This window comes from Homo sapiens, chromosome 4 (assembly GCF_000001405.40).
Source record: "Homo sapiens chromosome 4, GRCh38.p14 Primary Assembly".
NCBI classification, from domain to species: domain Eukaryota; kingdom Metazoa; phylum Chordata; class Mammalia; order Primates; family Hominidae; genus Homo; species Homo sapiens.
This window is the reverse complement of record NC_000004.12, coordinates 26,866,555-26,884,643: the sequence shown is the minus strand read 5'-3', so window position 1 is coordinate 26,884,643 and position 18,089 is coordinate 26,866,555. Positions and strand designations below refer to the sequence as shown.

Here is an 18,089-nt window from a genome sequence, read left to right as displayed (position 1 = left end):
CACTGAAATGCAAAGAGCCCCTTCTTAAAATAGCTTGTACATTACCCTGCCTATACAACGACACAATTTCCTGTTAGTTTTCTTTATATTTAAATTTCCTAAAGCAGTTGCAGTAGAAGCAGTAAGTCACACTCCAGCCCTATTCTGGTTCTTTTCTAAACCTTTATTACAAACAGGTTTAAGAATTAAATAACCATTTCGAGCAGAGCATCATCATAGAAGGAAACTGTAGGATTTTAAAATACAGTAACAGCTAATGCTTTCTAAGAGTTATTATGTGGCAAACACTGTACTAAACATTTTCCTATACTGATCTTTATTGCTCACAACAACCCTATTAAGTGGGTATGTTGTTCACCCTGACTAAAATGGCCTAAGTCTCTTTTACTGGAGAACACATGTTATTTCATTTTTTTCACCTTCCTAACCAGGCACACACAGTCTCCCACATCGAAGGGGCTCAGGACTGTTTGCAGGAACTGGTTCGTTATACAGATGATTGCCTGTAACTCTCAAGCCCAACTTGCATTTGGGTGAGTTCTACAGTGAGCACCTTCTTTTCCAGAGAAATATAAGGAACTCAGGTATCTAATACCATTATTTCAGTCCCATTTGAGATAACTTCCTTGGTTTGCTGAGAGGCTCATCCATTTGTGACGTATTAATCAGGTAACAATCTGATAATACTACTGTTCACAGTAACTTTTCAAAGACTAAGATAAATGCTGAGGATCAATTTCATGGCTATATAATATGAAAATAAGCTATCACCATCATACCAAAATACATAACCTTGCAGATTTACATGGCTCACTCAGCACAGCTACACACTCTAACACTGTACATGGTGCTTTGTTTCTGTCAATTACAAAAGGAACATTTGATACAGCATTAAGTCTCCTTCAAAGAGATTAATAAACACAGCAGTAAATTTTCATTTTTAAATTAACCTTCAAAGAGTCTTTTCATATCTTATTTTAATTATACAATTCTATTTTTACTGCAGCTGTGTTACAAAGAATGGATCTGTTAAACTGCTTTGCCCACCATAATGTAACTTATTATACACTTTCGGCACCTCAGGCAATGTCCCAGCATATACTAATATACCTCATTCCTGTGTTTCTATAATACAGTAATTCCAAGACATTGTGCCAATCCCTCTGTTTTCCAAGGGAAAAAAATACCTAATTCACTGAACACCAAATTATATACAATATAAGACAGGTATATATGTGCATACATATGTTTCCAATTTAATCCTTACCATGACCTTGAAAGATAGTGATTATCTCTTTATTTTTAACCCAAGGAGAAATTGAGGCAAAGAGATTCTGAGTTAGCAAATAATATACCATTTACATGCAAGTTTATTTATAAAGCCTAGTTTATTCCTCTATTTCACACACTGTTTCCCTCCCAACCCTCCCCTCTTTCTCATGCTTCAGGGCAGGCTTCTCTGATCATCAGTCCCCATGGCAGAAAAGACACACAAGGCCGGGTACAGTGGCTCATGCCTGTAATCCCAGCACTTTGGGAGGCCAAGGTGGGCGGATCACCGGAGGTCAGGAGTTCGAGACAAGCCTGGCCAATATGGTGAAACCCCGTCTCTACTAAAAATACAAAAAAAAAAAAAAAATTAGCCAGGTATGGTGGCGCATGCCTGTAGTCCCAGCTACTCGGGAGGCTGAGGCATGAGAATCACTTGAACCCAGGCAGCGGAGGTTGCAGTGAGCTGAGATCGCGCCACTGCACTCCAGCCTGGGTGACAGAGGGAGATTCCATCTCAATAAAAAAAAAAAAAGAAAGAAAAGGAAACAAGAAAAGACACACAGATAGCACCTGGATTTACATATAGTAGTTGAAGCCATAAGAAGAGACTAATGGGCCAGGTACCGTGGCTCATGTAATACCAGCACTTTGGGAGGTCAAGGCAGAAGGACTGCTTGAGCCTGGGAGTTCAAGACCAACCTGGGCAATATAGGGAGATCCTGTCCCTACAAAAAATACAAAAATTAGCTGGGTATGGTGGCACATGCCTGAATTCACCTCCAGCTACTAGGGAGACTGAGGCAGGAGGATCACTTGAGCCTGGGAGGCAGAGGTTGCAGTGAGCTACAATGGCACCACTGCACTCCAGCCTGAGTGACAGAGCCAGACCCTGTCTCAAAAAACAAAAACAAAAAAAAAGAAAGAAAGAAAGAAATTTAAGAAACTAGGTTTCTAGATAAAACCAGAATTACAAGGGGGCATTGCTTCTTGGCCTTTTGGCTAAGATCAGGAGTAGAATTACAATTGGGGGAAAAAAAATTAGCAACAACTGAAACTTTACAAAACTGGAAAAAATGAAACCACAATTAACTTATTATTAATAGAAAGCTCAACCCTTTTCATGATAGCACATTTTTACAAGAATCACCATAAGAGAATGTCAGAAAAGAATCAGTCTTCATCTTCTCATTAGTTTAACACATCTTTTGCTGGAGCAATCTCAACCCCCAGTTACAAGGGACAGTGTATTTAACAACACAGAAAAGGGAAACCAATCATACTCTAAATAATCAAAGAAATAAAAACATGACATTTCACTGAAAATACCAAAGATTCTGTTTCAATAAAAACACTATTGGGCACTCAAAAACACAATCCTTCCAGAAAGCAATCTGTCAGTAAATACATACAAATAGATATTTTTTAAACCGTAAAATATACATATCTTTTAACTTAATAGTATGCTTCTAGGAAGCTGCCCTTAAAATCCACAGTGGAGAAAAGATTTAGGCAAATAAATGTCTACAACAATATTTTTTAAAGAAAAACTGAAAACTATCCAACAATGAGAATCTACCCAACAATGAGGAAATAATTTATATCTTCCATTCAATAGTTAAGAAAAAGCTCAGGATACGTTGGATTTTTAAAAGATGCAAAATTCCATCTAAAAGGATTGCAACTTGTCTTAGTCCACTCAGGTTGCTATAACAAAATACTTTATACTGGGTAATTTAGAAAGAACAGAAATTTTTTTGCTTACAGGTCTAAAGGCTGGGAAGTCCAAGATAAAGGCACCAGCAGATTCAGTGTCTGGTGAGGGCTCTCTTGCTTTACAGGTGGCACCTTGTTGCTATATCCTTACATGACAGAAGGGAAAGGCAAAAGTGGCTTTTTTTTTTTTTTTGAGATGGAGTCTCACTGTGTTGCCCAGGCTAGAGTGCAGCAGTGCAATCTCAGCTCACTGCAACCTCTGCCTCCAGAGTTCAAGCCATTATTCTGCCTCAGCCTCCCAAGTAGCTGGGACTACAGACATGCACCACCACACCGGGCTAATTTTTGTATTTTTAGTAAAGACGGGGTGTCACCATATTGGCCAGGCTGGTCTCAAACTCCTGACCTCAGATGATCCACCTGCCTAGGCCTCCCAAAGAACTGCGATTACCAGCATGAGCTACCGCGCCCAGCCCCCGTCTGGCCTCTTTTATAAGGGCACTAATCCCATTCATAAGGGTTTTGTCCTTATGACCTAGTCACTTCCCAAACGCTATAACTCTTAGTACCACCATCACCTTGAGGTTTAGGTTTCAACATATAAATTTTGAGGAGACACATATATTCAGAACATAGCACAACTACATAAAATAATACTACATATACATATAGAAAAGAACAATACCAAAATGGTTCTTTCTGAAGAGTAAAATTTGTTTTATTCTCTTGTCTACACTTGCATATATTTTCCAAGTTCAAAATAAGAGAACCTATGTATACAAGAGAAGAATAAAATAAAAATAACAAAGTACCAATTTTAAGAATTCTAAGATCTTTGAAAAAAATCACTTCTAAAACATTTTAAGTTACCGTATCTGGTTTAAAATGCATTAAATATTTCCTCTAGCTTAATTCTAATTTGGCTGTCTATCCTCGGGAAAAAGAAAATTAGATATATATATACATATATATATATTTACATATATATTTACATATATATTTATATATATATTTACATATATATTTATATATATATTTACATATATATTTATATATATGAAGGTTTATGCACAAAAGGTATGAACCAAGGCATTCATCCAAAAAGTTTTATGTAGTTACCTATGAGACACTGTGTACTATCTAGATACTACATGAGTACAAGGGCCCAATCCTTTTACAGCTTATATTTCTGTGGATAAGTACAGATAACAAGTTAATAAGCATATTAAAATGTAATTTCTGGTTGTAAGTATTATAAAGGAAATTAACAAAATACCGTGTATGTTTATCAGGGACAGCAAAGACAGAGCCTGCTCCTATAGGAAGTCACCAAAAAAAGTCCTGAAAAAATACAAAACCAAAAATATACTGCATCCAGACATGCAAAAAGATGAGAAGGAACAATCAAGATGTGGGAAACCTCAAGCGCCAGGGCCCAGAAACAGAGAAAGAGTTTCACATACTCCAGCAGCAGAAAGGAAGCTGGGTAGATGGAAATGGTAAAAACAGATGAAGCTACAAAGGTAGACAGGGGCCAGATCATGCAGCAATTTGCAGGCCAGCATAAAAGGTTTCTATTCTATCATAATTACATAAGCCTCTAAAGCGGGGGGAGAAAATTATCTTATGTGTACTTCTGAGATTAGACTGCAGAAGGTAAAGAATGATAACAAGAAGTTAGGAAGGTACTGCAGGAATCCCAGTAAGAGGGAATGGTAGCCCAGACCAGAGTGATGGCAATGAAAATAGAAAAAAGCAGAGAAACTCAAGACATAATGTGGTGGCTAGAACCCATAGTATTTACTGGCAGGAGGTCAGAATGTGGGCGATGAGGGCCCAGAACAATCAAGTATACCTCTTAGGACTCTGGCTGAATCATTACTTACAAAGCTAAAACTTAAAGTGTGTTTCTAATGACAAGGAATAGTTACATATATTATGAAGTATCCATGAGATGGAATATTACTAATGTTTGTGGAAGGCTTGCTTCTCTTTACTATCTATGAGATAATGGGCATGATACTTACATAGTCCTTCGGTTTCCTCAAATAATTACTACATATAATACCTACTGCTCTCATAGAGTTGTTGGGAGAATTAAATGTGAACCTATGAAAAACTTAACACAATGACTGTGTAAAGCTATCAGAATTCATAGTAATAATATCTCACCACCCAGAATAAAAAAGGTATTCAATAAATGTTTTGTAATTGAATAGACAAGCAGATAAAAGAAATGGTATAATATCCCAGGTCACCTGACTCAATCCCATAATCCTTCTACAAAACTATGCATTCTTCACCACAGGCAGGTAAAAAAAAAAAAGATTAACAGTTTCACAACCATTAGATTGTGAAATCAACTAAGTGAAACCATGAAATCCTCGTTAGAGATTTTTGGTACAAACTATACAAAAATGGAAGATCTATGCTGTCATGTCGATTACATAATTAAGTAACTACATAGTCAAGTAGATTAACTAGAATTATAGGTAAGTTTCTGAGTCACAAAAGTAATTGAAAAGTTTACTGGCCTACTTACAGGCTGATGAGTCAATCTGAATGCAATACAAAAAGAGCACACGACAGGGGAGACAAAGCAGCAAGAAAATATTAAAATAACGTCAAAAGTTAGATGGTGATAAGGTTTGGCTCTGTGTCCCCACCCAAATCTGACCCCCAACTGTAATCCTCATGTGTGGGGGGAGGATCCTGATGGGAGGTGACTGGCCCACAGGGGTAGTTTCCCCCATGCTGTTCTCATGATAGTGAGGGAGTTCTCATGAGAGCCGATAGTTTTAAGTGTGGCACTTCCTTGCTCTTGCTCTCTCTCTCCTGCCACCATGTAAGATGTGCCTTGCTTCCCCTTCGCCTTCTGCCATGATTGTAAGTTTCCTGAGACCTCCCAAGCCAGGTGGAAATGTGAGTCAGTTAAACCCCTTTTGTTCATAAATTACCCAGTCTCAGGTAGTATCTTTATAGCAGTGTGAAAATGAACTAATACAGATGGGGAATACAAGTCAGTGGCTAAATAAGAGAACAGAACACAAAACCTGGAAGGAAAAGAAAAAGAGATATACCAAAAATCAGGATTAGTCAGAGTCTGAGAGACAATTACAGACTAGGAGAAGCAGGTAATTACCTCTCCCACCCACAAGGCCCAGGCAAAGATCCACTGCTCCTAGGGGAGAGATAGAAGTAAAAGCCTACTATGCTTCAAGGACACAGAGACCCTCCTGACCCATGATCCCATACCAAAACTAATCAGAAGTATACTACTGCTAGGGGAAGGACAGAAAACTCTCTGTCCCAAGTACTACCTCAGTCACAAGGCAAAATTTGGCTGCCATGGGAGGGGAAAGATTAGGGGGAGAAGGGACGACCGAAAAGGTTCTACTCTCAAGACTCAGGCTTACGAGCCCTACCTAAGACTGAGGGTAGACCAGGAAAACCAAGAACTTCTCCACCCCCATCACAAACCTAGCACATATAAAAAAGAATCCACTATAGAACAGGATGTTGCTGATAGCTGCCAACAGAGCAGTGTCTTAGTCCCTTTGTGCAGCCATAACAGAATATCTGAGACAGTGTAATTTATAAGGCACAGCAATCCATTTATATTTCCTCACTGTTCTGGAGGCTGGGAAGTCCAAGATGAAGACACCAGCATCTAGTGACAGCCTTCTTGCTGCATCACTACATGGCAGATGGGCAAAGAGAGAGACACAAAAGGGAGCCATGCTTGCCCTATATTTTATAACAACATTAATCCCACTTATGAGGGTAGAGCTCTCATGGCCTAAGCACCTCTTAATGGTCCCATTTCTCAGTACTCTCACAAAGGCAATTAAATTTCAACAGGAGTTTTGGAGAGGACAAATTTTCAAACCATAGCAAGTAGGAACACCACTCAGTCCATCTAAAGCACAAAATAACAGCAACTTGCCGCCAGAGAAATTTAGGTCTGTGGTGCACTGAAGGGGATGGTAGTAACAACAGAGCCATAACCAGCCCAAGCAGTGACAAAACTAACTCAACCTACCATACCAACAGTGTGACAGAGGAGGTATACGCATTTCTAGACACAGGTTCTTCTATCATTCAAAAAGTATGACACATTTAAAGAAGGAAAAAAAAAAAAACAACCCATCGTCAAGAGATAAAGCAAACAACAGAACCAAACAGAGATTACCCAGATGTTGGAACTAATCAGAGATGTTAAAATAACTATGATTCATAAATATGTTAAAAAAGGTAAAGGAAAAGATTAATATGTTAAAGGATCTGGACAACATAAGAACAGACAGGAAATTTTAGCAGGGATACGAAAACTGTAAGAGAGTCAAATGGCAATGCTAAAATTAAAAATAAGAATTTATCAAAGATGGAGAATCCCTTTGACAGGATTCTTCATGAACTTAGGTCAACAGAAGTCATCCAAACTGAAACAGAAAAAAAAGGGAAGGTGTGTTTTTTAAAATAAAGAAACCATAAAGGAACACCATTATCAAACAGTCTAACATATACTTAATTGGTGTCCCAAAGGGAGAATAGAGAAAGCAAAGGAAAAAAGAATTATCTGAAAAGATAATAGCCAAGATTTTCCAAAATTAACAAAAGACAACCAAGATCCAAAGAGGTCAGAAAGCCCTCTTAAAATTGGTTAAGTTATAGTTACCTTAAATCAGGCAAGTCAAAGCAAAAGGTTAATACAAAAAAATACAGCTTGAAATAACTATTGGAAAGTATATATGTAACAGATAATGTAAAAATATTTTCTATCACCTATAAAAAGATGACATTCTATTTACCATCTCCACATGAAAATAAACTCAAATAGTCTAAAACAGAAAAAAAGACAGTAAGAGACAGAAAAAACCTGAACTGTAAAGTATAATCCAATAATTAAACACATACTATAGTTTTCTGCCAAAAGCCACTAAACCAATGAAGACATTGACTATACTGCTTTGGCCAAAAAACTGTCAATTTTCAGCAAGTACATTAAATAAAGGCATTTGGTTATGAGTTACAAAAACTATTATATATAAATTTAATAAATCCTCTAAGATGATAATTCCACTTTGTGAAAATTCTAATACCCACAAATTTATTTATGGTTTCTCATTTCCACTATTGTGAGACTTTTTATGTTAGAGTAACTGGAAAAAGAAGGGATCTAGAGATTGATAAGAGTAAAGCAAGGCAGGGCGAGTTTTAAGACTTTTAAAATGCAACCCTGAGTTAAAGGAAACCTAGGTAAAGTCCACTTGACCTTAAAAGTGTATTCCTGTGACTCAAAAGTGGGAAGTGCTACGATCCAAAGACCTACCTAAGTGGTGGGAACAGAGCCAGGAGAGACTGTCTAACATCTTCATGTCTTAATATAAAGGCTCTACAGGAAGAATTCTAATTTTACCAATACCCTGTTACTGAAGTGGTTTCATCCATAGTAGCGGAGAAATTAAAGACTTCTTAAATAAGTTTACCCCAAACCTTTTCCATTTGATTCATCCAAATCAGTCAACATGTCTGAGACTGTGTGGACCCCCAAGACATGTGAATCAACAATTCCAAGTAACAAAAACAAGACATCTAGCTTTTCCATGGACTGGATACTGAGCCACTAATATGCTCCTTTGTGTACATACTATATACTACAAGCGAAAATGGTTTTTCAAACATCTCATAAGCTACAGAAGGAAACACTGAACTCTTCCTAATAATAAAAGGATGATAAATGGAAACTAACTTTTCTGAATTACTAATTCAGAACACGCAAATGATTACTATGGTACTTTCTTTTAGCGAATATAAATATTAGTAAGGGCTTTTGTGGGGCTACAGTATCTCTAAAGCCTATTTTTCCCAAAGGTCTGTTTTTCAATTTGAAATTCTGCTAGTATAAGATTTTTCAAGAACATCCCCATAATAATTAGAAAGGAATTGTCTATAAATATGTCATGTCTTGCTTGGGAATTTGTATTTAACTAAAAACAGCTCCCATTTGTCTAGAAATCTTGAAGACTGACAAAATACAAAGACTTATTATCTTTTCATTCCTACAGAGTGTTCTCACGTTGTTATATGATAAATTAGAGGCCTGAGACACATACAGGCTTCCTACTCCTTTACTAATCTAGAATATAAAGAAAAAATAATCCTAATTATTAACATATTTAGGGCTTATGATGAATCTATCATGACTACCAGCTACCTGCTTGAAAACAAACTTAAAGACTTCAAAACGTAAAACTAAATTTTTAGTACACTATAAAAGTTACCAGATAATTTTATAAACACGTTTAAACAACTCATCATAGATTATTCATATATAAGTTTGGTTACATTCAGAGGACCGGCATATGTGCATATTTCTATAAGATTTTTGAACAGATCTCATAAAAAATACTATATAGCATATGGCAAAAATAACACAAAACAAGGAGTTAATAGATCTGAGTTCTAATTTTAGGTCGATTACACTAAGTTAAACTTGATAGTAAGTTAAGAATATGGATATGCTTTGTATAAAACTCAAAGAGATTTATCATTGTGAATTGTATAACTGATACTATGAGTTAAAAGATTAATCAATAAAACCAATATGCCATTCAGCTTCAATTAAAGGAATCTGCAAACTAGTGAGTACTGGAACGCGTAGCAATCATAATACGAAGAAGCTGCCAATTTTATTCTAAGATCACATACTGCATGTAGCAAAACTACATTTGCCCAACAAATAACCACAGCATTAAAAGTAAAATTATGACAGCAGCACCTTCATTAGTTTAGTTTTCTCCTACTTCTCCGGTACCTAAAAAGTGTCTGCTGTCTAGCACACAGCAGACATTCAAACATTTGTTTAATAAATATCCTCCACAACTAAGTGGCACAATGTAACCTCACAGTCTATGCCTAATACTTACTGATTTTACTACTTCCAATTTCATATTAACCAGCACTTTTTTAATGTTCTTAAAATCTGTGAGACTATAAATCAAATATAATTGTAACCTTTTAAATAATCCCATTCTTTTATTTCCCTAAACTCGAAAAGATATGAAATTATCCATTAAAAGAGGAGAGTTCATACTTAAGCAAAATGAGTAATATATTAACAATAACTGCTTGGTTTATGTAAATGAAGAACTGAAAGCTGATCCTATAACATTTGTCCACTAGAAGTTACCAGTCACCAATAAAGATGTGCCACAGTTCTTCCTAAAAGTACTTTACAGTACTTGGCGTCGGGCAGACGTTGGGGGTGCTGGGCCCTAGTGGTCAGACAAGACTCTTGGGCAGGCAGATGGCTTCTCAGCGGCAGGGTGTAGGGGCCTCTGTGCGCCGGAGATCTCTCCAGTACCAGGAGCAGCTCAAGAACAGCAAGGAGCTGCAGCCTGTGGCCAGCCATCCAGGAGACCCCTGCCGCAGCCCTGGGTTCCCTGTGCAGACAGTTCCAAAGGAGGCTGCCCCTGACAGCCATCAACCTCAATCTCTGGGGAGACCCCTCCTGCAAACACTTGGAAACCCCAGAGCCAGGGCAGCAGAGCCTCCAAGCTGCAGCTCGCTCAGCTAAGAGTACCTCAGGTGCCAAGTCCCAGAGAATCCAGGAGTCCTGACACCAAGTGGCTGGTGGAGACTCAGGTGAAGGCCAGGAGGAGAAAGAGAGGGGCACAGAAGAGCAGTGGATCCCTGACTCACAGCCTGAGCCAGAAGAGCACCCAGCTGTCTGGAGGCGCCCCTGTCCACTCAGCCGCAGACCCCTGGGAGAAGGAGCATCACTGCCTCTCTGCCCGGATGGGTTCACGTACCCACCCACTACGGCGGTTGAGGCGGGAGTCTGCCTTGTAGAGCCCCTTACCCCTTGACAGAGCCCCTCTGCTCTCCCAGTGAGTCTGACAGTGACCTAGAGCCTGTGGAGGCAGAAATTCAGCATCTCCAGAAGCTGTCCCAAGAGCTGGATGAAGCCATTATGGCAGAAGAGAGTGGTGACATGAGCGTCTCTCTCATTTATGACTAAGGAAGTGCCCTGCAGGAAACAAGCCCTGTCTGATCACCAAAACTTCACACCCAGTATGTCTGTGCTTCCCCATGAGCTTCCTGGACAAAGTAGTCAGAGTTACCCTGGGCTACTGCTAACAAGGAAATAACAAGGGACCCAGAGCCCCCCTGCTCTGGCCACATCTAGCCACAATGATTTAGTTCAGAACTAACACAGTAGCGATGAGAATGGAAAGGACTTTTTTTTTTTTTTTAAAGACGGAGTCTCACTCTGTCACCCAGGCTGGAGTGGAGTGCAATGGCACGATCTCAGCTCACTGCAACCTCCACCTCCAGGGTTCAAGTGAGTTTTTCCTGCCTCCCAAGTAGCTGGGATTACAGGCACTCACCATCATGCCTGGCTAATCGTTGTATTTTTGTAGAGATGGGGTTTCACCATGTTGGCCAGGCTGGGCTTCAACTCCTGACCTCAGGTGATCCGCCCGCCTCGGCCTCCCAAAGTGTGGGGATTACAGGTGTGAGCCACCACACCCGGCCTGTTACCCTCTGAATTAAACCCAAACAAGGTAACAAGGTCTATGAGGCTCTGTACCATCCAGCCCTTCCCTTTTCTATAGCCAGATCTCATCCAACATTCCCCCTCCCTCAAGATGCTGGGTCAAAATGATACTCTTTCATTTCTTCAAATAATTCCAATTCTTTCTTGCCTCACAGTCTTTGTCCATGTGGAATGCTATTCCCCAATTCTTCAGACTTGGCTCTTTATTGTCCTTCAAGATGCCACCTTAAATGTGACCTTCTCAGAAGCCTTCTCTAACTAGCCTACCTAAATTAAAAAGTACCCCACATTATTTTCTATTTTATGTCTCTCTTGTTCCTCAATAGCATTTCTCACAACTCAAAATAGTATTTGTATTTTCTATCTTCCCAACTGAAATGCAAGCTCCATGAGAACAAAAACCTCAATCTCATTCATCTTTGTGTCCCCAATACTTATCATATGCTTGTAATATACTTGGCATTCAAATATTTACTAAGTAATTTCACATTTTTAAAAAATCACTCTATGAGCCTATTATTAAATATATCAATATGCATACATATCTATAAAAGATTGTAAAAAACAAAATTTTGATGTTATCTTTGTTATTTTTAGCTGTTGAAGTAGATGTATTTTCTATATTTACTTTTCAGTATGTTCTAAATTTTTTATAGTAAACCTTTAAGCTCAGAAATTAAAGATTTTAAAGTCTAACATTTCAACTGCAAAATGCTTTAAATCTTTAAATCATATAAAATAATAAAGGTACAAAATGACTCAGGCTTATGATACAACTAATTTTTTTTTAATATCACACTGCTTCTCAATGTCACTGTCTATACTTAGCTTCATATTTCTACAGAGTTTTAACTAATCTCGGACCACTCATGGTCCGGTTATTTAGATCAACTAACTGCCTCAAACTATGTCTTCATACTTTTTTAAATGCAACATAAAATATCTTAATAACACTCAATAAATCAAAGCACATTTCTACAACTATCCTACCTCTGTATCTATAGATAAAAAGAATAATGGTTAAGTCAATAATACCTGAATACTTACCCTTGCCAGGCTCTATTCTAAGCACACACAGAGTAATTCATTTATTCTTTGCATCCCATTTTAGAGATAAGGAAATTTAGGCACTAACAGACTAAATCATCTACCCAAAATTACAAAACCACTGTCAGACTGGGATTCAAACTCAGGAAATCCTGCCCTAGTCTAGAGGCTATGCTCTTCATCACACTATACAAAAGTGGAAACAGGCCAGGCATGGCAGCTCACACTCATAATCTAATTACTTTGCGGGGCCGAGGTGGGAGGATTGCCTAAGCCCAGGAATTTGAGATCAGCCCTGGGCAACATACTCAGACTCTGTCTCTACCAAAAAAAAAAAAAAAAAAGGGTGAAAACAGACTTATGGGCCAGATAAAAGTTCAAGATATAAGATGCTATGCTTCTTAAAAATTACATTCCGTCATCCTTGTATTTATGAAAACAAAGCACAAACAGAAATTACGCACTTACTGAAAAGCCGAGTCAAACTGAACAAATCGAGTCAAAGTTTAATTTTAAAAAGGACAAATTATTGGGCCTCAGATATATTTTATAGGAGTCATATTCCAAGATTTCAGAATATTTAATAGCAAAATTTTGTTATTTACCAGAAGTAAATGAAGGAGAAACTCATAAGGCCATTGGACAATAAAGATCTACAATGTAACATTAATCACAATGTTTGTATCTGCTACTTCTCCAGCCTCATTTCCTGATTCAACTCCATATATACCTTATGCTTTAACATAAAGATCCTTGGCACAGGGGGGTTTTTTAAAGTACGAACTATTTGAGAGCAATCCTAAATTTCTGTTATATGTACTAACTCATGGAGATAACCTCACAGGGATTCTCTAAGGATTAAATTGGATGAAACATACAAAATGCCTGGCAAAAATTTAAATCCCACATGCAAATATGGATGCTGCTGCACTGCGAACAGGCCCAGCATTGACTCTGTCATCCTGGGTATTTGGTAATTCACAACCACATTTAGCATTCTCAAATGTCAATGCCTATAATAATCTCACTCCCCACCCAGCTTCCTCACTTCACACCTATGGTTTTCCACCATGCCTTTCTCTGTCTGACAAACTCATACATTCTCGGCACATACTTCCTACTCTGGATATTTAAAAAAAAAAAAAAAGGATTCACTAATAACCTACTAATAACCTGCATCTCCACATCAAAATTAGTAACTCCATCTTTGCAATTCAGTAAAATACAGCACATAGCCTTAGGCCCTTTTACCCTTATCACAATGTATCATCACCCTTTAAGTGGGTATGCCTTCTAGTAGACTACAAGCTAGGGTGAATATCTTACTGATCTTGAAATTCCAAACACCCAACTGGTGTCTGGCACATGGGACTCACTGAAATTTTTTGTTTGCTTGCTTGTTTTTTAATAAAGTATACAAAAGAGTGAAAAAGGAATGATACCTGAAAACATGTACATCTATCATATATCAGTTAAAAATTTTTTAAATTATAGTTATTTATAATTATACTTTGTTCCAAAGAAGGGGGAAGGGAGACTTATTTTTTAATACTGCAAATGTATAACAAAAACTTCCATTAAATATTCTAACATATATTTTGTTATAACTTCAGTAAGGCATAATGACAAAAAGTAGATATATTTAAGGTATACAATTTGATCTGATATATGCATACATTATGAAATATTCACCACAATGAAGCTAATTCACATAATCCATCACATCACATCCTTACCTTTTTTTTTTTTTTGGTGTGTTAAGAACTTTTAAGGTCTACCCTCTTCACAAATGTCAATTACAGTATATGACACTATTAACTACAGTCACACTGTTGTACATTAGATCTCCGAACTTATTTATGTTGCATAACTGAATCTTTGTACTTGAAGTTTCAACATCTCTCCATTTACTCCTTTCCCTAGCCCCTGGTAACCACCATTCTACTCTGTAAGTTTGATATTTTCAGATTCCATGCAGTATTTGTCTTTCTATGGCTGCGTTACTTCACTTAGCATAATGTCCTCCACGTTCATCCATGTTGCCGCAAATGGCAGGATTTTCTTCTTTTTTAATGCTGAATAATATTTCATGGTGCAAGTGCGTATGTATCACATTTTCTTTATGCATTCATTGATGAACGTTAAGGTTGTTTCCATATCTTGGCTATTGTGAAAAATGCTGAAAAGAACATAGCAGTGCAGATATCTCTAACATATATTTTCAGTAAATGTAGCAAGGATACTAGATAAGCTACCACAGCAGTGGCCTTTTAAGAAACAAAATATTTATACATATTTTCATATTTTTAGATTATGCAATCCACTCTCAGGCAATTTTCAGGTTTACATTTTAAAAAGTTTTTTTTAATTAGCCATCTGTGGTGCCTCACAGCCTGGGAGGCTAAGGCGGGAAGATTGATTGAGTCCAGGAGTTTGAGGCTGCAGTGAGCTATGATCATGTCACTGCACTCCAGCCTGGGCAACAGAGTGAGACCACATCTCTAAAAATAAATAAATACATAAATGTTTTTAAATAGTCAATTTCAGCATCTTTATATTTCCAGTTACTCATACCATAGCTGGCACAAAACAGTCACTAAATAATGTTTAAAACTCTATGCACACACAGACATATTCACCAACGACTGGCTTTCTCACTTTAACCCTCTATAGTTCTTTTTAGGACCCATATGTAACAGACCTAGAACCAAACAAACTTTTTTCTTCCTTTTTTTTTTTTTTTTTTTTTGGAGACAGGGTCTCACTCCGCCGTCCAGGCCAGAGTGCAGTGGCCTGATCAGGGCTTGCTGCAGACTTAACTTCCCCCAGGCTCAGGTGATTCTCCCATTTCAGCCTCCTGAGTAGCCAGGAATACAGGCGCACATCATCACGCCCAGCTAATTTTTTTGTATTTTTTGAGGAGATGGGATTTCACCGTGTTGCCCAGACTGGTCTCGAAGTCCTGGGCTCAAGTGATCTGCCCATCTTGGCCTCGAAAAGTGCTGGGATTACAGGCATAAGCTACAGCGTACGACCCCAAACAAACACGGAATAAACATCAGAGGGTATAGTTACAAATGCAAATTCAAAAATAGCCAGGGGTACCTATAATTGCACTTTAGCTTTTCTTTCTTAATGTGGTACCCAGAAGAAAGAAACGGCGAGGATTAATACAGTCTGAATATGTGTGGCAAAGCAGAAATAAGAGCTAAACATGACAATGGTTCAAGGCATCAGGGAAACAGAGCAAAAATTACATACACGTCATTAATGAAAACGTTAGAGATGTATTGCTGGACAATAGGAATAAAGAAGGGGGATTAAGATTATCTAGTTATCCAACATCAGATTTTTTAAAAAAGAAAAAAAAGACAGTAATAGAAAACATGGGCCTGTGCAACTTGCAGTGTGCTGAGTAGGAGACAAAAACTTCAAACAAGGGTTTAAAAAGCCTTTTTACTTATTGAGAATATTGTAAGAAACTACAAATCACTTTCACTACCCTAGGGGGTTTTGATGAGGCTGCTTATGATAAGGCTGTTTAGTATTCTGTAATCACATAAATGAGATATTCATTTCAAGCATTTTTTAAATTAAAATCCCAGCACTTAATTAAACAAAACAGTTTTTGAGGTGTTTCAGTTCCATATAATGTCAAGTTTAGGAAGATCAAAAAGAGGTAGAGAAAATGAAAATGACTAGAGAAAAAAGTTACACAGAGGTCAAGATCCATAAGCACACAAAAAAACAAATCCATACGCAAAAAGAAACACTTGGACAGATACAGGTACTTGGGCTCTGAGATGAATGTTAGTCCAAGTAAACTGCGCTTGCCAGGCTCTGTGGCTCCAATCAGCCTGTGTGTACTGGAGGGGAGTTACCACTATCTTATGAAAACACTGAATAGACATTATTAAACATTCTGCAACTGCTCCTAGCCTTAATCCTGAAATTGTTTCACTTTAAAGGATATGGCTGACAAAGCCTAGTAGAAAGGAAATTACTCTCGGGACTGCAGCCATGATGCTTGTGCTATAGCACACCAAGGGCCAAAGGAAATAAAGCCAAAAATCAAATCAATCATTGGCCTGGGGTTCCCTACCCCCAATTTAGAACTTTCCTAGTAATGAAGTTCTCTGAGGAGGAAATGTTCAGCTAGACTAGAGGAAGAGGAGGCTGAGAACAGAGACTTAAGAGGGAACCACCCTTAAAATCAGCAACAATGAAACCAGTCAAGGAAAACAGTTACAGAAGGTAGAATTAGACAGTGTCAAGAAAGACTGAATATCCAATGTATACTAATATAAAGATCTAGATAGCTAAAGAACAGAACAAACCTTTTAGATTTGGCATTAGAAATCATCATCTATAGATTAAGCTTGAAATTCACACAACAATGAAATTTAGGAGTTAATATTGAAACAAGTAATATGCCAGTAGTCTGAAATATTGTTATTCATAGCTAAGGGGTCGGAGAGACTTCGACTCTTGACTTATAACTTTAGTTTAATCTGGAAACACTTATCCTTTTTATACATGGAATTCTAAAAGCTTTATATAAGCATTTTATGGCAAATATATTGTCTTTGGATATCAAAAGTTGTTTGGTTTTATTTGTCAAACAACTGGCAAATACATTTGCAACTGTTTTTCTGTCGACAACTTTGTAAATCATCACATAAGCCCGATTATATTTTTTTAAAAACTAATCTTTATATTAAGAAATAGGCACATTTGAAATAAAGAAGATTCTCTATCACAAATAGTGTGTTTCTTCTTGGATTTTTCAAGGGCTTATACTAATTTAAATCATTCTATAAATTCTGTATGCTTAATGCTAAAGGTAATTTTTATATCTTAAACTTCATATAAATAGCCAGATTCCTAAGCTAAGAATAAAGTCGATTTTATAAAATTTCATCTAAACATTTTCATAGCCACTCCATAATTAGAATTCTCAAGACCTCTCCTTCTAAATAGTTTCCTAACTGATATCCTTATCTCTGTTATCTCCTCATTGCCATCCACCCAGAATTAGCTTTCTCAAACACAAAGGACATGTCACCCCCATCTTCAAAAACCACAATGCCTCTCACCTCCTAATGACAGGATATAGATTTGCAACTTCAAGAGTTTATTAACAAAACACTCTGAAAGTTCAAAATGCCTTTTACCTTAAAAATTAAAATATATGTACATTTTCCCTAACGTGCATATTTAGAAACCTTCAAATAGTTTTATATCTCTCAAATAATCTAATAAAATGGATATGCCAAGAAAAGGTACCATATTTGTCCTGGATGTCTCATTCTTGCCAGTATACAGCCGAGTACCCCAGTTTTAAATGTGCTGACATTTTGATACATACTGAATACACTAGGGGACTGTAAAGCTCTTGATAATTTGGCCCCAATCTTCTTCCTTCTTGCATTCCCCACTACTCTACATATACCTTATACTTAACTCTAAAGAAAAGTATTTATCCCCTATTCTT

General features: G+C 37.4%; 1 protein-coding gene and 1 pseudogene across 3 annotated transcripts in view; one reads left to right on the top strand and one right to left on the bottom strand.

The window, feature by feature from the left end:
- Positions 1-18,089, bottom strand: part of STIM2 (stromal interaction molecule 2) — a 164,541-nt gene that overhangs the window by 140,738 nt on the left and 5,714 nt on the right. The window lies entirely within an intron of this gene.
- On the top strand, positions 10,247-11,181 carry PIMREGP4 (PIMREG pseudogene 4; annotated as a pseudogene).